Below are 25,496 nucleotides of genomic sequence, written 5' to 3'. Positions count from 1 at the left end.
AAATTGCTGCAGAAAAAAAGTCTTCTCAGCAGATGTATCTTTAAGTCACTTGATTTCAGAGTAAGAGGTTGTTTCAGTCACAGTACTTATAGTCAGTGTTGAAAATTATGAACAGCCTACAAATACCAAAAAGGAATGAAAGCATTTACAGACATATAGGATACATTCTGTTTTAAAATTGCTCCTCTGTTGTTGGGCTCTGATTTCCTAAAGTCATCTATCAGCCATTTCCCTCAAATTATTCCATGTCCTTCCAAGAAGCTTCTGCAATTTCTCGAGGTGATTGATTATTCCCAATGGTAAACAGCACCATATGGGTCCAAATCTAAAAGGAATTCTGCCTCTATTGCAGAAGAGTTACTCTCCAGAAACTTGCAGGCCTTGGAAAGCTGTATGAGCAGTGCAGTCTATGCAGGAGTAAGGGCTGCAGAGCCAGGCAGAGCTGATCCTGAGTACCAGCCCAGCTGCTTAGCAGCTGTGGGACTTTGGGCAAGGTTCTTGACTTGGAGCAGTAATATAAACCTCTTCTGCAAGAAAGGGTAGAATAATACTGATTGCAGAAACAGCAGCAATGCTTCATTACTCTCTGTATCTATGCTCTTTATTGTGTGCTCTTACAGCTCCTCCCATCAAGAGGCCGAATGTGTTTCCCAAACTTTGCATCTGGCTGGCACTATTTTCTCTGGCTATAGAAAACTGTTGTATTAGTTTGTTTTCACACTGCTGATAAAGACATTCCTGAACATGCGAACAAAAAGAGGTTTAATTGGACTTACAGTTCCACATGGCTGGGGAGGCCTCAGAATCATGACGGGAGGCAAAAGGCACTTCTTTCGTGGTGGCGGCAAGAGAAAAATGAGGAGAAAGCAAAAGTGGAAACCCCTGATAAACCCATCAGATCTCGTGAGACTTATTCACTAACATGAGAATAGCATGAGAAAGACCCGCCCACATGACTCAATTACCCCCTTCCCCGGTCCCTCCCACAACACACGGGAATTCTGGGAGATACAATTCAAGTTGAGATTTGGCTGGGGACACAGCCAGACCGTATCAACTGCGAATATGACAGCTTTTGTGCTAGTTTTGGGCCTAGGCTCAAAAGGTCTTAAATGCTTCTGTGTTTCTCAGAACCTTGCTATCTTTATGAGATCAAGCTATCAGAACCTTGCTATCTTTATGAGATTAGCCAGCTGGAGGATGACATACCATGGTGGGGAGAAGGAAGGTGCCACTGTTGATAGCCATCTCATCCCCAGAAGCAGAGCCACCTAGTCAACCAGCAGCTGGCCATACATACATGAAGCAGTCCAGTTGTGACAAGAATAGCTCAGTTGAGTTCAGCGTGAATGGCTGATGAACTCAATCATGAGCTATTAAGTTTTCGGTGATTTGTTATGCAATAGCTAACTAATACATGCACCCAGGGCAGATAGGGTGCCAGGATTCAATGAAAGGTTGATTCCTAGTTACCTGCAAGAAGAAAGCACTTTATAGGTACTAATTCTCCCCCCTTATTTAAAGTTGGATCTTTTGTAAGATAATGTTCCGTCATACAGAAATGCATGTACACATGTATATATGTGATTGGTGCTTTTACTCACACAGCCCCCCAACCACGGGAAGAAACAGACAATCACAGCTTGATCATTAGGGCTAAGGCCAAATAGCAAGATAAGTCTGCCTCTAGTCTATTTCCTCCATATCTAAATGTTGGAGGTCAAGGCTATGGACAGATCTGAAGATGTGTTCTCTCCTCTTAGGGCCCCATTATTGATGGGCAGCAGTCCTCTACCCGTGGATATTTTCTTTTGCTTTCCCCTATGCTCTCTAGGATCACCATCTCGTCCACCCTTCGACCGGAGGAGAGATGTTTGTAGCAAGAGGCTGTTCCCTCACCTCTGGCTGAAAAGGGACTTTCAGACCCTCCACTTCCTGACATAAGGGAGGTTAGACCTCAGAGCTGCACTTTAGTGTGGCAGCTATTGATCATGTGTGGCTATTGAATAACAGGAATACAGCTGGTCTGAACTGAAATGTGCTGAAAAGGTAAAATACAGAGTGAGCTTCAAAGATTTAGTACCCCAAAATATATACTTCCTTACCAATTGTATATTGACCATAGAGGAAAATGGTTACATACTGGGTTAAATTATTACAATCAACTTCACCTGTTTCTTAGTACATTTTAAAACGTGGCTACTAGAAAATTTAAGATTCACACATGGCTTACATTTTAATTCTTAGAGGCTTGAATCCTTTTTGAAATTTCAGGCTGTCTGTTCAAAGGACCAAAAGCCAGGAAGGCCATAAAATATAAAAATTCAAAATGATTGTCTTTATTTTCTTCTTTCCATTGGTGAATAACATATATTTATTATTTATAAATAAACATAACCGCAGTCACAAGATGAAATGTAAATATCCTCTAGGTGGGGCCGGACAGCGCAGGCAGGAAGCCCCGCTCCAAAAGATCGCGGCCAGCACCTGTCCTTGCTGTCTCATTCGGCCCATTGTCTGATTACAGCTCCTGTCACTCAGGGCCTGAGGGGGCGGGGCGTGATGCCCTATCCAATCAGAGGAGTAGGGGCGGGGACTGTCCAATCAGGCACATGTCTGGAGAGGAGAGGACGGCTTCCGGGATCTAGCGGGGCCTTTGTCCCGACAGAGCTCCACTTCCTGTCCCCGCGGCTCTGTGTCCCCTGCTAGCCGTAGGTCGTGTGACCCGCAGGCACCGGGAGATCCAGAAGTGAAACGCCAGGCTCTCTGGAGGCCAGGAGATGGTGAGTGTAGGGGCCAGGCCTCCTGAGAGACAGGGAGGGGCGGACTGGAACCCGCGGTACCGGCTCGGGAGGAACCGGGCTGCCCGGGTGGGTTCCGGGCTCCGCGGACCCGAGGCCCCTCCAGCTGCACCATGGCGGCCGGGCCCCGCGCGCCCCGGCGCATCCCTGCAGAGCGGCTTTGGCCCAAGCCCAGAGCCATGTCCCCCCGGCAGCTCTTCGCCCGCAGACCCTCGTCTCCCCGAGTCAGGAAGGGAGAATCCCGACTCCGTGGGTGGTTTGTGCATAAGAGGATGATCTGTAGCCCGTGGGGGCCCCAGTCCCTCCTTTCTCTCGAGGGAGTCCTTGCAAAAATGTGAAAGAGTTTTATTTGAGCAAAGAGCGATTCATGAATGGCAGAGGACCCAACCATGTTTTTTGGGTTTGGAGGTCCCACCAGCCGGCCTTGAAGGAAAGGCTTTTATCAGGTGCATGAGGAAGCAAACCACATTCATTCATTAGTTCGGTACAGTTACGTCATCTCCTGATTTCAGCTATCTAGGCTGAAATTTTCTGGTCCTGTAATCAGAAGTTAATTAGAGGTTTGTGGTTGACGAAGCCTGAATTTTGTTTCTGCAAGATAGTCATTTGCAAGAAACGCATCTGAGTTAGATTTTTTTTTTTAACCTAAGAACCCAGGGCACTAGAGCCACCTCAGTCGGATTGCCTGCTATTTAATTATTATTATTTTTGAGATGGAGTCTCGCTCTGTCCCCCAGGCTGGAGTGCAGTGGCGCGATCTCGGCTCACTGCAACCTCTGCCTCCCGGGTTCAATCAATTCTCCTGCCTCAGCCTCCCGAGTAGCTGAGATTACAGTCCTGCACCACCACGCCCGGCTAATTTTTGTATTTTTAGTAGAGACGGGGTTTCACCATGTTGGCCAGGCTGGTCTTGAACTCCTGACCTCATGTGATCCGCCTGCCTTGGCCTCCCAAAGTGCTGGGATTACAGTCGTGAGCCACTGCGCCCAGCCTGGACGGCACTTTTTAAGAGATTTGTTTTCTGTTTGTAATCATTCCACGTGACAGGAAAGCAGAGAATCATCCCCTGACGCTATTGTAAAAAGTCTTTGTGCCTCTCCTCCTTTTTATTTTCCCTAGGCACAGACACCTTACCAGAATGTCTTTGGTTTGAGGTTCCACTTTGGAAACTTGACAGGGTGATTTGCTCTCAGCCACCCTCTGGACTTTTTCCTCAGTTTCAGTATTGTCCAGGGATAACACAGGATGCCCACCATGGCCATGTCTGCTGGAGCATCTAGTGAATTTCAGGCCCTGGGTTATTTCTCAGAGGACAGCCTGAGGTATGAAGTGTGGCCTCTCCAGGGAGCAGCTGGATGCCCTGGGCTGAGAGAAATCTCCTGGTCTACTCTTCCTCTAAAGAGGTAACCACTTAGGACATTAAGATTGTCTTCACCCAACCCAACTTTCAATCCCTGGAGACACATGGCTGATCAGCCAATCACATGCCCCTGTCAGAGGGAAAAGACCGAAATCATTTCTGCCCTTTGGACTCTCAGATTTGTGAAGGGAGACAGAATGTTTCAAAGAGCAAGAAAAACTCCACCCCGTGAGATGGTGCAAAACCTGTAAAGCAAAATTCACCTGGGACACTCAGCGGGGCACAGTGCAGTGTATCATCGGGGGTGGCCGGTGAGCACTTCGGTGAACAGGATGGAGGTGGGAGAATCTCCCAAGGAATAGAATAGCCTGACTTGACACAAGTCATTAGCTGTGTCTGTGTTCCAGTCGGCACTGCCACTCTCTGTGTCTCCTTGAAATAATTTATTCACTTACTGCAATGTTGGATTTTTAATTGTAAATTTACATTTTATCAGTAGAGCTTGAAAGGTAAGAAAATACTTACAAAGGACATGAAATAGGTCAATTTCAGGAAAAAAGTTAAATATCTAGTCATACATACCTTTTTCTTCTCCAGAGTGATTAAGGGTAGAAAGTTACTTAGGTCTGTTCTTTTGTGGAAGATGATTTCCAACAGAATCCCAGGGCTTAGCTTTGGGAATGCTACCAGGGAACATAAAATGCTTCTTGGATGGCTGTGGAGAATGTTTACATTTTCTACAAAAAAATTATGGTAGATTACTTGGTAAATTGCATAGATTCATCAGAACATGAGCTCTTTTTGCAGGATGAATTTGTTGTCATGAGTATCTCTGTTTTATATCCTGTTCTCTAGATGTCTGAGCTTAATGCTAAGTTGTAGGAGATGGAACTTAGCACTTCTAAAAGTGTTCACATGTGATTGTTTACTATATGATTTGTTATGGAAATAGTTAAATGACAAGTTCATTGTCTGAAAGCAATAAATAATTTTGCTTTTTCTGTGGAGGTGAAAGTGTAAGTGCTTACAGTTTCCTTTTCTTCTGTAAACTGTTTCAGTGATTTTGTTGGATGTTTCCAACACTGGGTATTTTCTTATTTAAACCTAAGTGGATAACCCTGATTGGGAAGTTGAAGCCCAAGAACAGTCATTCCAAGCTAAGGCTAATACTGAGTCTGCAAAAGAAAGCAATCGAAGGCCTGGCTCAAGCTTGTCCAACCCACAGGCCTGGGCCACATGCTGGCCTGGGCTTTGAATGTGGTCCAACACAAATTCGTAAACTTTATTAAAACATTATGAGACTTTTTTGTGATTTTTTTTTTTTTTCAGTTATCAGCTATCGTTAGTGTTAGTGTATTTTATGTGTGGCCCAGGGAAGCCAAGATCGGACACCCCTGGCCTAGCTAGTGCTTCCCAAGGAGCCTCCCCTGCGGGTGCGCCAGACTGCTCACAGCAACCATGGAAGGAGCCTTTCTACAGAGAGAAGCTGCAGAGCCCGGGAGCACTGGGGACCCACAGGCAGATGCAGTTAGAGTTGGGATGGAAGGAAGCTGGGGAGGACTTCCTGGGTATGGAATCGTTATTATCCTGGGGCTGTTTCTAGACTTCGTCAAATAAAATAAATTTAGCTTTAGATAGGAAGTTATTGAACTCTAAAGGAGGATTGCAACAGGGAGAAGGTAGCAACTATCATGGATCTCATGGCCATAGAGGGCATCTGTGCAGGGTCACCAGGAACTCTCTCACCAGCACCTGGAGTCTTTTGGACATTCAGGAGTGCACTGTGCAGACGGGGCTCAGGCTGACAAAACGGTCTATCTGTGCTTCTGTTGTAGAATAAGAGAAATGAGTCACCCAGGGTTTGTTCCTCCCCTCAGAGAAGAAACCTCATTGGTATCCACATGGGAATTACTCCAGTTTTTCTGGTACTTCAGTAAAAAACAAAAATGAGATCTGGAGATTCAAACTGATAAACTAATTGATTCCATCCTGTGTAGCCATTAGGAAAACAGAGAAGGCAGCCATGGTCCCCGCAAGCCAGAAACTTTTCCATTTCCAGTAACTGGATAAATCATTGAATTCAGCGTCTTGGGGTCAGCATGAAGAAGGGAGTGGTCAAAGGGACTTCTGCTTCATTTGGGCCATTTTCCTGATGTGGTTGTTGTGAGTTCTGATGTCATATTGAAGGGATATTCAGACAGACAAGGTGGTGGTGGTATTATTTCTGTTGCTTTTGCCCGGCTAAAAATAAATATTTAGCTTCTACCATATCTGTCCTAGAAAATCCTAAAGGTTTCGGTTAAATTGCTTGTTATTTTATGTTATAAAATAGACAAGGAAGTGGCCAAAATAGATTAAAATTATACAAACCCTGGGATTTAAATTTTGGGGTGGGGGGCAGTTTTAGGAAAAACAGAATTGTAAATACTCTAGTAGCATAGAGAGCAGAATCCTGCGTAGGGCCCTCTCCCTGCCCAGACATGCCCAGACTCTCCTTCTCTGAGTCTCATCCAGGTCTGGCTTCACCCTGGACTCTCCTCCGACAGAGTTAACTACAGAATTAAATCAGAGTTTTGGGTTTAGCTACAGAGTTAAATCAGTTTGGAGTTTAACTACAGAGTTAAATCAGAGTTTGACTCCTGCTGCCTCTCCGGAACTGATACACAGAATTTTCGGAAACCCCAAAGCAGATAAATGGGATCAAAGGACTCTCTATTTTGGAGCCTTAATTTTTCTTTTTTACTAACACCAGCGCTGTTAGAGACATCGTATCCAGCAAGCTCTTTCTCAGTCCTGTGGGTCTAATAGTTGCTTCACAAGCCACAAGAAAGTGAAGATAAACACAACAATGGAAAGTGCCTTTGCACTACACTTCATCCCCTCTGTATCCCTTCCATTGGTCTATCTGGAGCTTTTATCACTACACTTTTAAAACGTTAATGATAGGAAAATAGAAGAGGAACCACAAAGCCTGGTCCCTTCATCTATATCTTGAGAGTTGCAGGACACTTGGTTCCATCACCCAGGGTGTGGTGAGGATTAACTCACATGACGTGAGGTGCCCAGCACAGTGCTGTCACATACATCCGAGCACCCCGTGCCTGCTTAATAAACACTGCATTCATACGTGTGTACACATTGTTTTCCAAATGCAGACAGACTCAGACATTGCTTCCTTCTCCAGCCCTGGAAAACTTTAAAGAGCCAGGAAATAATGTAATCTTTCAGAATAGAGATTGGCTGTCTCCATTTGCACCAGAAGAACTTATGTTGTGGTCAGAGGGTTGGGTGTAAGGGACTGTGCTGGGGCTGCTTTCTTTAGCTGAGTGTTAATGATCACAAGTCTTGGGGGAGCAGCATCACCATTAATGGCAGAACTGTTAAAAAATCCAACCCATGAACCCCTTTGAAATCTTCAGAATCACATGACTTAGAGTGGGGCCAAAATTACCAAAAGATTCATATGCACATTGAAGCTTGAGAAGCAAGGCTTAGCTAAATGGTTCTCAGCCTGGCTTCTAATTAAATCACATGGACAACTCAAAAAAAGGCCCTCACCTTTGCCCTCACAGATTCTGCCTATTGGTTTGGGTGGAAGCACCAGTGCTGTTTAAGTCACATGCATCATGGGATTCTAAGGTGTGGCCAGAATCAGTGATGGGGGGTTTCAGATGCATTTGTACGAGTTGAGCTCAGCCTTGGTTCCAAAGGGAGGTCACAGGGCCTTCTTTGCCTAGGTTTCAGAGGCCAGCTCAGTGCAGCTTATACTCCAATTGCTGAAGCAGAATTGCTGTTGTTTAGCAGGAGAGGGAACCTGAGAGCAGGAAGAGAGAAAGTCACATTTTGATCTCCATGTAGAAGTTTACTGTTCCTGAATCTCTTTTATAAAGAACAGAAAAGCGTGGACTTTTTCTGTATTTCTTGGTCTTTCTGTTGATGGTTGTGGTGGTAGCAGGTGAAGGGGTTGTGCTAACACCTTTAAAGGCATATTCTCACGATGCAGGTGTGATTTGTCCAGAGAATCTTTCCTAAGAGGAAATCCCAGAGAAGCAGGAGAAAGAGAAAGAAATGGCTGGTGCTCAGGTAAATGCATCTCAGGTCAGGGGTTGTGTCCACTTTTGCTCCTGAAATGTCATGTGTTTAGAATTTGGAAACCTTTACTTCTCTACTTGTGGTGTTTCTCCATAGTAAGTTTGTTTCAACTACTTTTTTTTCTTATAATAATGAAGGGTCTCTGAAAATATTTGTTTTCTATATACCAAAGCCGTCTCTCTGTTATCTTCACCTTGACTTCTTATATGCCATGAAGAATTCTTACCATGACTTTATGACCTGCAGTATTAAAAAGTTCACTTCGTGGCACTGAACTTGTGGATACCCAGGATTCCTCTTGAGGATGGGGTGGGTTTTTGGATATCAGCAAAGAAGGGAAATGTGCACTCTTTAGGTTTCATCTGGATGCTCCATAAGCTGCATGCAGAACAGGACTAAGAAAATAAACATTTAAACCAGATGACATTTATCTCTCAGAATAACTCAAAGCATTCTGGAAAAGAGAAAAATGAAAAGACACTTGCTTTTTAGAATGCTAAAGAAAGACTCTTTTAATACACTATTAGAGATTACTGCTGGGCATGGTGGCTCATGCCTATAATCCCAACACTTTGGGAGGCCTAGGTGGGCAGATCGCTTGGGGCCAGGAGTTCGAGACCAGCCTGACCAACATGGTGAAACCCCATCTCTACTAAAAAAATACAAAAATTATCCAAGCGTGGTGGCACATGTGGGTAGTTCCATCTACTCCGGAGGCTGAGGGACGAGAATTGCCTGAACCAGGGAGGCAGAGGTAGCAGTGAGCCGAGATCGCGCCACTGCACTCCAGCCTGGGCTACAGAGTGAGACTCAGTCTCAAGACAAAAGAAAACAGATTACAGAACCTGGGAGATATTTGTCAGAACCTGGGAGATATTTGTCAGAACATAGGAGATATTTATTTGTCAGAACCTGGGAGATATTTATTTGTCAGAACCTGGGAGATATTTGTCAGGACCTGGGAAATATTTGTCAGAACCTGGGAGATATTTGTCAGAACCTGGGAGATATTTATTTGTCTCTTGAACTTTGCATAACACTAAGGTTTCGGTATGATTTGATTCAGATTATAATTGACCTTTTGGCCAATATCACACCAGTAATATGTCCTTCTCTGTGCATTGGCACGTGATAAAAATCTGTCCTATTACAGTTGATATTAGTTTTATTCAGTTGTTTAAAGAGCTCCCTGACAGATTTTCCATTGTGGAGTTTATTTTTTTCTCTTTTAAGTACCTTGAGGAGATTTACTAATTAATGTGCATAAATAATCACATTTAATCTGAAAGGTTTTGCTTCTTAGATTCTTTTTGCATATGCCTTGCTTTAGAAGATGAAGAATCTCATCTCTCTTTATGGTTTAGAAAAACTGGGATAAACCCAAGCTTGCCACTTACAGGATTTTTGACAAAATATTGTCCTTGGGCCCAAAGGACTGGCATCACTGGTGAGCGCGTTAGAAATTCGGAAACTCAGCCTTGACCTCCGATTTCCTGAAGCAAAATCTGCACACTAGTTTATTGGACACATGAAAATTGGAGAGGCAGCTTCTAACTCACCATGACTTTTCTGCCTGCGAAATATACACAGCTTATTCATGTGACGTAAATGTAGCACTCAAAAATGGACATGCCTTTGTTGATGCCCTTAATGTTATACTTGTTATCAACCAGAAAAGTATTGTATATACACTGCTTATGTGGCTCTCAGGCAATTCTCTTTCCTCAGAGTTAGAGAGTATTCTTCTGCTAAGAATTACCTTATTGTATAATTTCAGTCACTTGTGTAAGTCAGAACCAGTTCTCTTCACTCGCTCATTTCACCTCGAATCAAGTATTTGTTATTGTTGTTGTTTCTTCTTCAGACTCTGTTGACGTTCAGGGATGTGGCCATAGAATTCTCCCTGGAGGAGTGGAAATGCCTGGACCTCGCTCAGCAGAATTTGTACAGGGATGTGATGTTGGAGAACTACAGAAACTTGTTCTCCGTTGGTGAGGATAACTTCAATACGTAGTTCCTCCTATGCCCTAAAGAGTTCCTTTCGTTCCTCTGCGGAATGTTTTTTGGGAGTTTCTGCGTTGCATGAATGAGTTTCAGATCCCTGCTTTTAAGAAAAACATGGGGAATAGTTGATGTAAAAAAAAAAAAAATCTTCAAAATGTGGTTCATCTTGACATAAACCTTCCTTTTTTTTCAGCTGATCTGTATCTTTCACTCTAGTGACAATTCCAGAAATTCAGTGGCATGAAATATTGTTGCCCACAACTTAAAGTCAAATTTCCACCACCAATTTTTTATGTCAGCAGTACTGAGTGGTGAAACTAAGAACCCACAGATTTAAAATACTTACTGAATATTCTAAAGGTGATGTCAGGAAGCATAATTTTGGGATTAATTTTCTAGAATCTTATATAATGTTCACTCTACTAAGCACAGTACAAGGTTGATAATTGGAGAATTTCAGCAAGAGTAATGTCACTTTTTTCTAATAAAACAGGTCTCACTGTCTGTAAGCCAGGCCTGATCACCTGCCTGGAGCAACGAAAAGAGCCCTGGAATGTGAAGAGACAGGAGGCAGCAGACGGACATCCAGGTGGGTGGGAATGAACGAAGCAGGTAACCCAGGTGAGAGGTCCAGAGGTCGAGGAGGAAGCCAGACCTTAAAATGTGGTTTGAGAAGCTCTGCCCTAGTGGAGATGGTTTCTGAGAGCCTGGGTGTCTTTCTCTTGCTGTACCCTAGGAGCGTCTTCTGTCTCATTCTCTCAAATTTTGTATAGACTCTGCTTCCTGTTTAGTGATCTTCCTTTATAAAGGTTACAGTAAAAATCAGAGTCCTCCTCCTGACGAGTAAGGGCCTGTGTGGTCTCATGGCGTGCTCCGCCACTGCTTTTGGGAACATGCCTGTACCTGCCTGTTTTTGAGGAACTCTGTTAAATGTTTTTTGATTTCCTTTGCATCATGTCTGAAGTGTGCGAGAGGCGTGGTGATGGTGATTGGTTCAGAAATCCCAGAAGTCCCGTAAACAGATGTTGTATGCTTTCTGCTTTATGATTTCGTATCCTACAGAGGTTTCAAATGGGAGTCTACAGAAATGTATACTCAGCAGTTTTCTCCGAACACTAGGCATCTGCCCAAATATGAGATAATCTAATGTTATTTTACTTCAACATTTTATTTTATTTTTTTTAGTATGAGCTGAGGTTGGTCATTTAAACTTTATATTCCCTAACTCCCAACTGTAATAGTTATAATATTATCATTTTATAATTTCTTCTTTTTTAGTATGAGGCTTATCAGGACTCTGTCATTCATATGTATGTATGTGTGCATATGTATATATGTGTGTATATATGTGTGTATATATGTGTGTGTATATATCATATATGTGTGTATATATAATATATCAACATATCCTTTTGAAATGATAGGATTTCATTCTTTTTTATGCTGGAGTAATATTCTGTTGTCTATTTAAATCATATTTTCTTTATCCATTCATGTATATATACACACACATATATACAGTGTGTCTATGTGGGCATATGTGTAACAGATTATTTTAGAAATAAAAATTGTGTATATATTGTGTACAATGTAATAATTTGATATGTGTATACGTTGTGAAATAATTAGTGCAATCACTTCAAGGAACAAATCTATCACTTCACGTAATTACCTTTTCTTGTAGTGAGAACAGTTAATGTCTACCGTTGGCAAACTTTAAGCATACAAAAGATTATTAATAGTATTCGTGAAGCTACTCATTAGATTCCCCAAACTTACTCATCTTACAACTGAAAGTTTGTACCTTTTGAACAACAGCTCATTTTCCCCAACTCCAGGCCCTGGCAACTGCCATTGTCCTCTGCTCCTGTGAGTTCAGCCACGACAGATTCCACGTCTGAGGGGGAACGTGCAGTCTCTGTCTTTGGGGCCTGGCTGAGTTTATTTAGCAGGATGTCCTTCAGGGTCATCCACGTGGTTGAATGACAGGATTTCATTCCTTTTTTATGGCTGAGTAATATTCTATTGTCTATTTATATCACATTTTCTTTATCCATTCAGCATCCGCAAACGTTTAGCTTGTCTTTATATCTTGACAATTGTGAATAATGCTGCAGTGAACATGAGGGAGCAGATAATTCTTCAAGATGCTGCTTTTATTCCCTTCAGTTATTATATACACAGAAGTGTGATTGCTGCGTTGCAGGGTAGGTTTATCTTTTTCTAACTTTTAAATAACGCCCCCCCACCCTGGTTTTCATAATGACTCTACCAGTTGAGAACTCTGAGCGTTCAGAATTGTTTTTTCTTTACATCCTTATCAACATTGTTAGTAGATTGGCGCAAAAGTAAGAGTATTTCTTACTATTTAGAAGGCAAAAACCACAATTACTTTTGCACAGCCCTAATATGTTACTTATTTTTGATATTAGCCATCCTAGTATCCAAAAGTTTGATTGTAAATTGTCTTTGGTGTCACAAGCTTTTTAGCTTAATGTACTCCATTTTGTTTATATTTACTTTTGTTGCTGTACTTTTGGTGTCGTGTCTAAAAAATGATTGCCAAGACCAATATCAGAGGTTTTCTCTCAGAGTTTTTAAGGATACATGTTTTACATTTTAGGCTTGATTTCAAGTTAATTTTTGAGTATGGTGTAAGAAAAATGGGCTATTTCATTATTTTGATTGCGGGTATTCTGTTTCTCCAGGACCAAGTGTTGAAGAGACTATACTGTCTGTATTGTATCTTCTTCGTGAACTTGTGAAAGATTAGTTAAGTGGATATGCATGAGTTTAATTCTGGGCTCTCTGTTCTGTCCCATTGGTCTCTGCGGCAGTTTTCCTCTCTGTTCGCATACCATCCTGTTCTTACTACTGTAGTCCTAAAATGTCACTTGAAAACAGAAAATATTATGCCTCTTGCCTTGTTCTTTTTCCTATAGATTGCTTTGGCTATGCCAAGTCTATTGTAATTCCATATAAATTTTAGAATTCTATTTTCATTACTGTGAAAAAGGCCACTGGAATTTGATAAGAAGTTTATTGAATCTATAGTCTTGGTCTTTAGCAGAATTTTACAACCCCCTCCCTGGATTACTAAGCTCTATTAAAGGCATTTTTGTGAGATGAGATCTCTCTGTGTCACCCAGGCTGGTTCTGAACTTCTGGCCTGAAGTGAGCCTCTCACCCCGAGGTCCTGAATAGTTGGGATTATAGGCATGAGCCGTGGTGCCTGATTCTCTTGGAAAGGCATTTCTGTACAAGAAGACTGACACATTTTTGTTGCTGTCGGGGAATATATAACCCAGGGTCCACCTATGTCACCATTTTTCTATGTCACTGTCCTGTACATTTTCACTTTCTCTTTTGTTCCATTTCAAATTTATCTCTAATTTCAAATTCTAATATGCAGAACAATATGCTAGAATTAATGTGTTATGTCTGAATTATTTAGTAAGCACTATTTGTTTGTTTGTTTGTTTGTTTTGAGATAGAGTTTTGCTCTTGTTACCCAGGCTGGAGTGCAATGGCGCGATCTCGGCACTGCAACCTCCACCTCCCAGGTTCAAGCAATTCTTCTGCCTCAGCCTCCTGAGTAGCTGGGATTTACACACAGGCATGCACCACCACGCCTGGCTAATTTTTTGTATTTTTAGTAGAGATGGGGTTTGTCCATGTTGGTCAGGCTGGCCTCGAACTCCCGACCTCAGGTGATCTGCCTGCCTTGGCCTCCCAAAGTGTCAGGATTACAGGCGTGAACCACTGCACCCGGCAAGCACTCCACATTGATTAAATTATCCTATTTCTTCAACCTGTATATAAATAATAATATGATTTATTCCCAGATGTTTATTTTATATATCAGTGACTCTCACCATATTTTACATAATTTATATTTTTCTCTTTATTTAGAAATATAAGGCTATTCCTTGCTTCTAAAAGTTGGATGGCAGCATTTTAAATTTGCATAAGAATAGCATCGGTATAGTAAACATATAATAAAAATTACCTTTAGTATCTCTTAGTCATTAAAATGTTCTCAGTAGAGTCTTTTCATAATGATTGTAGTGCATTTTCTGTGAAATGTTACTGCTGTCCACTGCATGCCAGTGACTCAAAATACCTAGTTTTCATGACTACACAGTCACAGTTGAATACTGTAGTTATCTAGGCAAATTCTTTTTTAATGGTACATCAATGTTTCATAGCAGATTTTATGACTAACATCTCTTAGTGTTTTGTAATTCCATATTACTGTTTTTATGGTTGAATAATATTCCTTGTATGTATATACCACATTTTTTCTGTGTGTTCATCACTTGAGGCTTCCCCCATTTGACTTTTCTGAATAGTGGTACAGTAAACATGGGTGTGCAAATATCTCTTCTAAGTCCTGAGTTGCTTTGTATACTTTTGATATAGATCTAGAAATGGGATTGCTGGATCATATAATTCCATTTTTAATTTTTTTAAGAAAATTATGCTTTTTTTTTTTTTTTTACACAGAGTTTCACTCTATCACCCAGGCTGTAGTGCAGTGGTGCCATCTCAGCTCACTGCAACCTCTGCTTCCTGGGCTCGAGCCTTCTTCCCACTTCAGCCTCCTGAGGACCTGGAACTACAGGGGCACACCGCCACACCCAGCTAACTTTTGTGTTTTTAATAGAGACAGGGTTTTGCCATGTTGCCCAGGCTGGTCTCGGACTCCTGGGCTCAAGTGATCCACCCGCCTCGGTCTCCCGAAGTGCTGGGGTTCCAGGTGTGAGCTGGTGTGAACCAGTGTGCCCGGCCTATGCTATCTTTCATCGTGGCTGCATCCTTTCTTTCCTACCAGCAGGTTACGTGGTTTTCAATGTCTTCACATCCTTGACAGGTCTGGATTTTTTTTTTTTACTGTGGCCATTCTAATAGGTGTGAGGAAATATCTTAATTGTGATTTTGTTTTGCATTTCTCTATAGATAAGTAATTTGAGCATTCATTCAAGGCTTGTTGGGCGTTTCCATATCTTTTTTGGAGAGATTTCAGTTAGTCCTTCATCTATTTTTAAATCAAATTATTTAATTTTTGTTGTTTAGTTGTAAAAGTTCCTTATATACTCTGAATATAAGGATACACTCCTATCAAATGTGTGATTTTTACCCATTTCTTAGGTGGTATTTTCACTTCACTCATTGTTTTCTTTGATTTGCAGAAAGTTTGAAGTTTGATGTAGTTCAGTTTTTCTGTTCTTTTGTTGCTTATGCATTTGCTGTCCTATATTTTCTTCTAAGAGTTTTATTCTTTTTTTTTTTTTTTTTTTGAGATGGAGTCTTGCTCTGTCGCCCAGGCTGGAGTGCAGTGGTGCGATCTCTGCTCACTGCAAGCTCTGCCTCCTGGGTTCACGCCATTCTCCTGCCTCAGCCTCCTGAGTAGCTGGGACTACAGGCGCCCGCCACCACGCCCGGCTCATTTTTTGTATTTTTTTTTTTTAGTAGAGATGGGGTTTCACCGTGTTGGCCAGGATGGTCTCGATCTCCTGACCTCGTGATCCACCCGCCTCGGCCTCCCAAAGTGCTGGGATTATAGGCGTGAGCCACCACACCCAGCCTATTCTATTTTTATGTTTTTCATTTAAAATATTTTTGTATATGGTGCAAGGAAAAGATACCACTTCATTTTTCCATGTAGATATCTGGTTTTTAACATTTGTTGAAAGGATTCTTTTCTCCATTGTGTGGTCATGGATACCTTGTGGAAAATTACTTGATTTTATCCACAAGGGTTTATTTCTGGGCTCTCTGCTTTGTTTCATCATTTAGTTATCTGTCTTTGTGTCAGTACCACATTGTTTTTATTTTCGTAGCTCTTTATATGTTTTAAAATCAGAAAGTGTAATGCCTCTTTGTTCTTTTTAAAGAATTTTGACTAGTTATTGTTCTTAAACTAATTTTAGCATTAAAAAATCAAAAAGTAGCTTTGGGAATTTGATAGAGATTACATTGAATGTGTACATTAGTGTGGGCAGTATTGACATCTTTAAAAAACTAAATTATCTGACCATTGAGCAAGAATGTGTATGTTCAAGGGTTTTAATTTCCATACATTTTTGGCATTGCCAGTTTTACTTTTGCTTTTGATTTCTAGTTTTATTACATTTTGGTTAGAAAACATGTCATGAGACTTTCATCTTTAAGAGTTGTTATTTGTTGTAACACAATGCACTATGTGTATTTGAGAATATTGTATATTCTGCTTCTTTGGACTGGAGAGTTCTATGCATGTCTGTTAAATTGATTTGGTCTGTAATGTTGCCCAAGCTTTCTTATTGATCTTCTGTGTAATTTTCTATTCTGTATTGCAAATGGGGTCTTAGAGTTGATAATTATTGTATTGCTGTGTACATCTTGCTTCACTTCTCTCCATATTTGCTTTATATATCTGGGAGCCCTGATGTTAGATATAAATATAGACAGATAAACAGTTACAGGTTCCTGGTTAATGTACGCATTTTGCCATTACATGCTATTAATCTTTATCTCCTGTGACAGTTCTGACTTACAGTGTATTGTGTCTAATATAAGGATAACCACCCCACCTGATTGTGGTTACTAATTGCATGGAATTTTTTTTTATTTTCACTTTCAGCCTATTTTACTATTTAAGGCTAGAGTCTTTTGTAGCTAGCATATTGTTCTTAATCCATTCAGCTATTTTATTTCTGTTCAATAAGTAGGTTAATTTATATTTAAAATAATTTCTGAAGGAAATGAAGTTACTATCACCATCTTGATTGTTACTGTTTTCTGTGTTTCTTGTAGATATGTTATCCCTCATTTCCTCTTTGACTGTCTTCATCGTTTGTTTTGTTGATTTTGTGTGGACAAGCTTTCATTCTTTTCTCATTGTGTTTTGCAGACCTTGTATAGGTATTTTCTTTTGGATCACCTTGAAAAATGGAGAGTACATAAAACACCTTAAAATTATAAATACAGATTTTAATCTCACAACTTCATTGAATACAAAAACTGTAACACCCTCCAGTGTGCTGTTAATGTAACAAATTATTATATATTTTGTGTCTGGTAGCAAAGATTTATGCAGATATTTTTTCAGATATTATAGCAGAATTTTGAATTTTTTACACCATCATTATGATAGTAAAGTATTATATATCTGCTTATATACCTTTAACAGAGTTTTATATTTTCATATGGTTTTATAATGCTGTCTAGCATCATTGTCTTTTTTAATACGATGAAGTCTTTTGAGTATTTTTTCTGTATTTTGTAGAGATTGGGTCTTGCTCTGTTGACCATGCTAATTCCTAACTCCTGACCTCAAGCAACCCTCCTGCCTTGGCCCACCCAAAGCTGGCATTATGGGCATCAGCCACCATGCCTACCCAACCTTTAGCATTTCTTGTAGAACTGTACTAGTGGTGGTGAACACCCTCATCTTTTTATTTATTTTGGAAAGTCTTTATTTTCCCCCTGTTCTTTTGAAGTGAAATTATTCTAGATCAAGTGTTCTTGGTTAGTAACATTTTTATCATACTGAAATTTGGAAAGTTAACAACCTTTTTTTCTTCAAATAATACCTCTACTGCTTTTCTGCTATGTATTTTTTGTAAGACTTCTTTCATGAATATGTTAGTTTAGATCATAGTGTTCAATAAATCCCATACTTTAGCTATTATATTTGTTTTACAGTTTTTTCTGTGTTTTATTTTTAAATCTGTGCTACATTCTGTTTTATTGGTCTATTTGTCTGCCTTTATACCAGTACCAAACTGTTTTAATTACGGTCGCCTTGTAATGTGTTTTGAAATCAGACAGTGTGATACCTCCAACATTGTTCCTCTGTTTGAAAATTGTTGGGTGCTTTACAGCCCCTTGAGATGTCTTAGGATTTTTAGGTTGTTGCTTTTATTTCTGCAAAAAGAGGATTCAAAATCTGAAAGAGATTGCCTGGAGTTTGTAGATTGCATTGGACAGCGTGAACATCTTTGCAATATTAAGTATTTCAACCTTTGAACAAGAGCATGCTCAAATGTGTTGTTTAATTTCCATATATTTGTGATTTTTTTTGTTTTTCTTTGTTATTTCCAGGTTCATTTCATTTTGGTCATATATAGTAATGCAGAAGACTTCAATTTTTTGAAATTTGTTAAGACTTATTTATTTGTTTAACAGGTGGCCTATCCTAGAGAATGTTTTCTGAGCTCTTGGGAAGAGTGTGTCTCCTGCTGTGTTGTGTGGAGTGTTCTCTCTATATCTGTGAGGTGGAATTGTTTTGTAGTGCTTTCAAGTCCTCTCTACAATTATTAAGTCTTGCTTTATCATTTATTACTGAAAGTGGGTTGTAGAAGTATGCCAATATTATATTGCTGTCTGTTTCTTGCTTTGATGCTGTAATTGTTTATAAAGAACTTGCAAAATTGAAGCAAAAAATAGCAGTATAATAGGAAGTTACTTCAATACCTAAATATATATACGAATATGCACCCACGCTTGTCATAGGTTCCCAGTTCATTCTCCCTTCTGTTACTGTTTTATGTTCTTGTTTTTTGTGAGCTCTGACTTAAAGTATGTTTTAGGAAGTATGACATTTTTTGACTTAAGATGTATTTTGCATAATACAATTGTAACCTCTTCTGCTCTCATTTCATTAACATTTGCATGAAATGTCTATTTCCATCTTGCCACTTTCAGTCTCTTTTTGTCATTAGATCTCAAGTGAATCTCTTGTAGGTCAGCTGTAGTTTGATCTTAGTTTGGTTTTAAATTATTTAGCATATGCCTTTTGATTGAGTAGTTTAGTTCCTAAATAAGCAATTTACTGAAATGAAAAGATGTACTTTAGCCATTGTATTTTTTTTACTTGATTCTTGTAGCTTTTTCTTTCTCTCTTTCCTTTTTGTGTCTTGTACTTTGTATAATAAGCTTTGACTCTTTTTAAATTTTCTTTTGTGTGTCTTATAGGTATTTTCTTTGTGGTTACCATGGAAATTATATAAAACATCTTAAAGTTACAACAAGGTATTTTACACTGGTAAATACTTAACTTTAGTTGTATACAAAAATTCTTTCTTATTAAATCTGCCCTCAACTTTGTTACTGATATCCCTAAATCATTTAATGTTGTATATCCATTAACAGTTATTTATGATTATTTTTCTACTTTCATCTTTCAAATTTTAGATAATAATTAAAAGTGATTTCTGCACCATCATTATAGTACCACAGAATTTTATTTTTCTGTATATGCGTATCTTTTCCATATATTTATTTTGATATGATTATATATTATTTTATAGCATCGCATTATTTTCAGTGGAAAGGACTCCTTTTACCATTTCTTGTTTGACATGTGTAGTGGTAATGTAGCCCTTGGTTATGTTAGAAAGCCTTTATTTTTTATGATTTTGTAGGACACTGGTTATATTATTCTTGCTTGGAAGTTTTGTGTTCAGCAATTAGACTATCTCATCCAATTCCCTTCTTGCTTCAGGTTGTACTTTTTTTGAGACAGGGATTTATTCTGTCACTCAGGCTGGAAGTGCAGTGGTGTGATCGTGGCTCACTGCGGCCTCCACTTCCCAGGTTCAGGTGATTCTCCCACTCCAGCCTTCTGAGTAGTTGGGACTACAAGTGTGCAACAGCATACACAGCTAATTTTTTTGTATTTTCTGTAGAGATGGGATTTCACCATGCTACTCAGGCTTGTCTTGAACTCCTGGGCTCAAGCGATCTGCCTGCCTCAGCCTCCCAAAGTGCTGGGATTACAGGTGTGAACCACCGTGCCCAGCCAGGCCTCAATGTTTCTGTGGACAAATTCACTGGTAATCTCCTAAGAGCATGTACCTTGCTTTTCACTTGCTGCTTTCAGGATTCTTTTCTCCTTTGACTTTGGAAACTGTGGTTATAATGTGTCTTATGTCCCTTTTTGTTTATACTAGTTGATGTGTTGAGCTTCTTGATTTTTTTGTATTTTTTTCTTACTTTTGAGAATTTCTCAGTAATTATTTCCTTTCATACCTCAGTTTCTCAGTCTGTTTTTCATACTTCATGTCTTTTTATTGGTATCCTTATTTTCCTAATTTTACTTAGTTTGCTGTTTTGCCATTTTTACTCATTGAGCATTATTCAAATGGTAATTTTATTTTCTTCAGTTAATTTATGCATCTCCATCATTTTAGGGTTGATTTCTGAACTTTTTTTATTTCTTTGATTATGCCATGTGACCCTAATACTTTGTACATGTCATCTTTGACTGAGATTCAGGCATTAACAACAAGCCTCCTGCCACAACCTTTATAATGTGCCTTTCTCCTGGGGTCATCTAAAACAAATAGGCCCAGATTCTAGAGGCCTCTTAAGCCTGTTCTGGGATGTGTCTTGTGTGGAATTGTGTGTGTATTTTTCATTTAAAGAGGGTTTCTCAGCTTTCTTTGTAGTGCCCTGGAATCACACAATACACTTGTCGCCTGGTGCTGCTGCTGCAGCCTTCCTACCGCTGTCATGGGTATTTCCTTTCGGTCTCAGCAGACCCAGCCTGTCACTCAGAGTACCACCATTTCTCTCAGCACTCCGTGTCACAGGGGGCAGAAACCAATCTTTGCCAAAGCTTCAAAAGGCCAAAAGTAAAAACACTTGTGCCAGTATTTGCTTTCTCTTTTGAAGGAGAAGCCAAGAGCTGAGGGTGTACTCTTAAAGGCATGATGCTATACTGCGGAGGAGCGGGGGCTGCAGTGGGTAAACGTAACAGACTGTTTTTCTTCTTATCTGGCTCCTAGCACTGTGCTCACCTGGGGTGCTGCAAACTGTGAAATGGTTTTTAGAGTTCAGATGCATCTTCTCACTAGGTATTGTTACATTTATATGTTTATACAGAAATTAGGGCCTGTGGTATTTTTTATGCCATTTTGCTAATGTACCCAGTATTATTTTATAGATTAGATTCATAAAGTGTATTCATCTGTGTCTAGTAAGTCGGATAACTTTTTTTTTTTTTTTCAGCTATGTCTTCTCATTTTACCCAAGACCTTCTGCCAGAGCAGGGCATACAAGATGCATTCCCAAAAAGAATACTGAGAGGATATGGAAATTGTGGCCTTGATAATTTATATTTAAGGAAAGACTGGGAAAGTTTAGATGAGTGTAAGTTGCAAAAAGATTATAATGGACTTAACCAATGTTCATCAACTACCCATAGCAAAATCTTTCAATATAATAAATATGTTAAAATCTTTGATAACTTTTCAAATTTACATAGACGTAATATAAGTAATACTGGAGAGAAACCTTTCAAATGTCAAGAATGTGGCAAATCCTTTCAAATGCTCTCATTCCTAACTGAACATCAGAAAATTCACACTGGAAAAAAATTCCAAAAATGTGGAGAATGTGGCAAAACCTTTATCCAGTGCTCACACTTTACTGAACCTGAGAACATTGACACTGGAGAGAAACCTTACAAGTGTCAAGAATGTAACAACGTCATTAAAACTTGCTCAGTCCTTACTAAAAATAGAATTTATGCCGGAGGGGAACATTACAGATGTGAAGAATTTGGCAAAGTATTTAACCAGTGCTCCCACCTTACTGAACATGAGCATGGTACTGAGGAAAAACCCTGCAAATATGAAGAGTGCAGCAGTGTCTTTATCTCTTGCTCAAGCCTTTCTAATCAACAGATGATTCTTGCTGGAGAGAAGCTCTCCAAATGTGAAACATGGTACAAAGGTTTTAACCACAGCCCAAATCCTTCCAAACACCAGAGAAATGAGATTGGAGGGAAACCTTTCAAATGTGAGGAATGTGACAGCATCTTCAAGTGGTTCTCAGACCTTACTAAACATAAGAGAATTCACACTGGTGAGAAACCATACAAATGTGACGAATGTGGGAAAGCCTATACACAGTCCTCACACCTCAGTGAACACAGGAGGATTCACACCGGAGAGAAACCCTACCAATGTGAAGAATGTGGGAAGGTCTTCAGAACTTGCTCAAGCCTTTCTAACCATAAGAGAACTCATTCTGAAGAAAAACCCTACACGTGTGAAGAATGTGGCAACATCTTTAAGCAGTTATCAGACCTCACTAAGCATAAGAAAACCCATACTGGAGAGAAGCCCTACAAATGTGACGAATGTGGAAAAAACTTTACCCAGTCCTCCAACCTTATTGTACATAAGAGAATTCATACTGGAGAGAAACCCTACAAGTGTGAAGAATGTGGCAGAGTCTTCATGTGGTTCTCAGACATTACCAAACATAAGAAAACCCATACTGGAGAGAAACCCTACAAATGTGACGAATGTGGAAAAAACTTTACCCAGTCCTCAAACCTTATTGTACATAAGAGAATTCATACTGGAGAGAAACCCTACAAGTGTGAAAAGTGTGGCAAAGCCTTCACCCAGTTCTCACACCTGACTGTACATGAAAGCATTCATACTTGAGAAAAAAATAAACAAATATAAAAATAGGCAAAGCCGTTAGTATCTGCTCGCATCCCACTTTACATCAGAGTTCAGACTTAATAAAGTTATCATAAATGTAATTACTATTGAAAGACCTTTCATGAAATATAAGTCTCCAGAGCACACAAGAGTATTTCTTCTGAAAAAAATGTTACAATTATACTAGATGGAAGACTTGCATCAGTTGCTTAAACTTTCAGAAAATTTGTAGAGAAACCCAACAAATCTCATAAATGTGGAATAACATTTGTTCAAAAATGATAGCTTAGAAAACACTAGAGTTCATACTAAAAGATATTTTGCAAATACACTAAATGGGAAAAATAAGCAAGGACACGTTCAGAAATGACACTGAATCCCTGTGTTGAGTCTACAGAGACATCTAGACTTAAAATAGATCATTTATATTTAAGTTTAAAAGGAGGATGAGACTGAGTTTTTGTAGAGTTATAATTACATTCAAAATATACTTTTTTGCATTGAAAAAATGTTAAATTTTTGAAAAGCGAATATTGATGTCATTCTATTCTCAAATCAGTAGATGCTGTGTCTTCATTTCTAGTGCTGATGTGAAAACACATGGTCAGTTGTTGCTGCGTCAGAGATATGAGAAATTCTTTTCTCTTAGGTGTGCATCACTGATATACTTGTCCGTGAAAGGTGAAAGACACTGAAATGTAAGATGCGTGAGTAAAATCTTGGTAGAGAGGCTCTTTGTGGTTGTTTTATATACTTGTAAGTGATTTATGAGATAGGTGTTTAGAATAATACTCTTCTGTTAGGGTCACCCTGATCAGACCGTTCCCTTCCCCTCCCACAGGACTTACAATACGGTCCCTTGTGCTCTCTGCACAGCTACCCCAGGGCAAAAAACAAACCCCCCTTCACTGATCCCTCCAGTAACTGTGCAGACAGTTACAGGATGCGGTTAACATGTCTGTTCACCTCGCATAACAAAGCTGGCAAAAAACATCTCCAGGATGCAGACAAGACACCTGCACCCTCGACTAAGCTCCCCCACCCCAACCCAGTTCTCCTGCACCCCCAACTCAGCTCCCGCACCCCGACCTAGTTCTGGCCCTATAAAAACCTGCTATAGTCTGTAAGCAGGGCTGCCTCCTCTAACTGTGGTGGAGCAGCCAAGCAGCTCAATAAAGCTTGCTTGCCTGACTTTGGGTCTCTTCATCCTTTCTCTTGGCTGACCTTACATTTCTGGTGCCGAAACCCGGAAAGGTGATAGAGTTCGGCCTCCCTTTCTCCCTTTCTCTTTCTCTCCCTCCTTCCCCTGGCTGAACTCCCCCTTCCAGAACCTGCTAGAGACCCAAGGATCTCATACATACTTTCCATTGCTGGCGAACACATCCAACACCAGGGCCTCCTCAGGGTTGAGTAAAGGAGACTTTCGCCTTGTGTCTGGAACCCTTGTCTGCTCTTTCCTTCCTAAAAGACCCAGCACTGGGCCAAGGGTTTCCTCCTCCTGGCCTCCAGGAGGCCCTCGATATCTCCTATCAAGGATGCCTGAACTGGGGATTATCGCACTTCTCCGACTTGAACTGTGGGACAAGGGACGCGTTCTCCCACCATTCTAGTCTCCGGCCAAGTCTCCCATCTCTACCCCTCCCTTTCTCATTCCACTATGGGAGCCTTCCAATCCCCTCCCTCAAAGACATCCCCGCTTCGGGTGCCTCCTCCATCATAACCTTAATGCCCTTAGCCTCCATTCCGAAATTCAGCCAAAAAAAAACCTCATCTTTTATTGTAACACCGCCTGGCCACAATATAAACTAAACAATGGCTCCCAATGGCCTGAAAACGGCACTTTAAATTTCAACATTCTCAGGTACCTAGACAACTTCTGCCATCGCAATGGAAAGTGGTCAGAGATTCCTTATGTTCAGGCTTTCGTTTGCCCTCCATAGCCATCCCTCCCTCTGTCAGTCCTGCTCTACTTTCCAAATCCTCGCCTGCTCCAAACCTGACCCATCCTCAGACCCCCACCCCCGTCACCGCTCCTCCCAATGATTCTTCCTTCTTTGATCCTGCCAACTTTTCCCCAACAGCACCGTAATCCTCCCCCAAATCATCACAATCCTCCACCATACAATCCCGCTCCTGCCTTCGTTCTCTTCCTCTCTCCAACCACCCAGCTTCTGATTCTGATTCTTCCCCATCTCCACCTCATACCCGCTCTCAGACTCAGCATGCCCAACACTCGGCCCCCTTACTTCCCCTCTGAGAGGTGGCTGGGGCTAAAGGAGTCGTTCGCGTCCACATTCCCTTCTCCCTCTCTTAACCTTTCGCAAATTAAGAAACATCTCAGGTCCTTTTCCTCCAATCCTGACACTTATATCAAAAAGCTCAAATACCTCACCCAATCTTACAGACTCACTTGGCATGATCTCTATATTATCCTCTCTTATACTCTCCTCCCAGAAAAAAAAAAAAAGAAAAGAAAAGAGTGGCTTGCAGCTCAGGCATGCCAATGATCTTCATCCACAAGACCGTACTAAGCCCATAGGGGCTGCTGCAGTTTCCTGGGAAAAACCCTCCCGGGAGTACCAACCCACAGACCCCAGCCGGGCATCTCATAACCACATGATCACTTGCCTTATCTCAGGTCTTAATAAAGCTGCCCATAAGGCTGTAACTTTGAAAAGCTCAAAAAAGTCTCCCAAAGGGCCGACAAAAATCCCACCAAATTTCTTTCCCACCTTACAGAGGCCCTCCAAAAATACACCCATGTTAACCCCACCTCCCAGGAAGGTCTGCTTC

General features: G+C 40.5%; 1 protein-coding gene and 1 pseudogene across 13 annotated transcripts in view, besides 3 other annotated features; one reads left to right on the top strand and one right to left on the bottom strand.

Moving 5' to 3' along the window:
* The window catches only part of TSSC2 (tumor suppressing subtransferable candidate 2 (pseudogene)), a 28,188-nt pseudogene extending 27,328 nt beyond the window's left edge, over positions 1-860 (bottom strand). The window contains exon 1 of the transcript NR_024248.1: positions 777-860. The product of NR_024248.1 is annotated as a tumor suppressing subtransferable candidate 2 (pseudogene) (transcript). The remainder of the gene's footprint in view (positions 1-776) is intronic.
* Positions 2,411-2,974: an enhancer, noted in NCBI's record as "NANOG-H3K27ac-H3K4me1 hESC enhancer chr11:3400077-3400640 (GRCh37/hg19 assembly coordinates)". NCBI's record gives its function as "activates a minimal SCP1, AML or CMV promoter by ChIP-STARR-seq in naive H9 embryonic stem cells {active_cell/tissue: H9 hESC(naive)}" and the evidence as "EXISTENCE:reporter gene assay evidence [ECO:0000049][PMID:30033119]".
* Positions 2,428-2,722: an enhancer, noted in NCBI's record as "tiled region #5988; HepG2 Activating DNase unmatched - State 1:Tss, and K562 Activating DNase unmatched - State 1:Tss". NCBI's record gives its function as "activates a minimal TATA promoter and a strong SV40 promoter by Sharpr-MPRA in HepG2 and K562 cells {active_cell/tissue: HepG2 | K562}" and the evidence as "EXISTENCE:reporter gene assay evidence [ECO:0000049][PMID:27701403]".
* Positions 2,675-23,894, top strand: ZNF195 (zinc finger protein 195). 12 transcript variants are annotated; one of them, NR_046381.2, is made up of 7 exons: positions 2,675-2,783; positions 8,165-8,244; positions 10,118-10,244; positions 10,751-10,846; positions 19,219-19,275; positions 19,932-20,078; positions 21,256-23,894. NR_046381.2 is itself a non-coding variant. In NM_001130520.3 (6 exons), the coding sequence occupies exons 1-6, from the start codon at positions 2,781-2,783 to the stop codon at positions 22,701-22,703; spliced, it is 1,890 nt and encodes a 629-aa protein (NP_001123992.1). In that variant the 5' UTR covers positions 2,675-2,780; the 3' UTR covers positions 22,704-23,894. The 12 variants fall into 12 exon arrangements, 9 of the variants coding, with proteins under 9 accessions (NP_001123992.1, NP_001229771.1, NP_001243753.1 ...); NR_040083.2 differs by lacking the exons at positions 19,219-19,275; positions 19,932-20,078 and adding an exon at positions 3,921-4,204; NM_001130520.3 differs by lacking the exons at positions 8,165-8,244; positions 19,219-19,275 and adding an exon at positions 21,033-21,101.
* Positions 2,900-2,969: a silencer, noted in NCBI's record as "silent region_3076". NCBI's record gives its function as "represses an Ori minimal core promoter by ATAC-STARR-seq in GM12878 lymphoblastoid cells {active_cell/tissue: GM12878}" and the evidence as "EXISTENCE:reporter gene assay evidence [ECO:0000049][PMID:35858748]".

The sequence above is a fragment of the Homo sapiens genome, chromosome 11 (genome assembly GCF_000001405.40).
Source record: "Homo sapiens chromosome 11, GRCh38.p14 Primary Assembly".
NCBI lineage: Eukaryota > Metazoa > Chordata > Mammalia > Primates > Hominidae > Homo > Homo sapiens.
Note: the sequence above shows the minus strand (reverse complement) of the source record. Positions and strands in the feature narration are given on the sequence as shown.

Coding starts and splice junctions, on each gene's coding strand:
- ZNF195 (NM_001130520.3), top strand. Junction 10,847..19,931: donor GGCAGCAGACGGACATCCAG/GTGGGTGGGAAT, acceptor TATTTTCTGTAG/AGATGGGATTTCACCATGCT. Junction 21,102..21,255: donor CAGATGCATCTTCTCACTAG/GTATTGTTACAT, acceptor TTTTTTTTTCAG/CTATGTCTTCTCATTTTACC.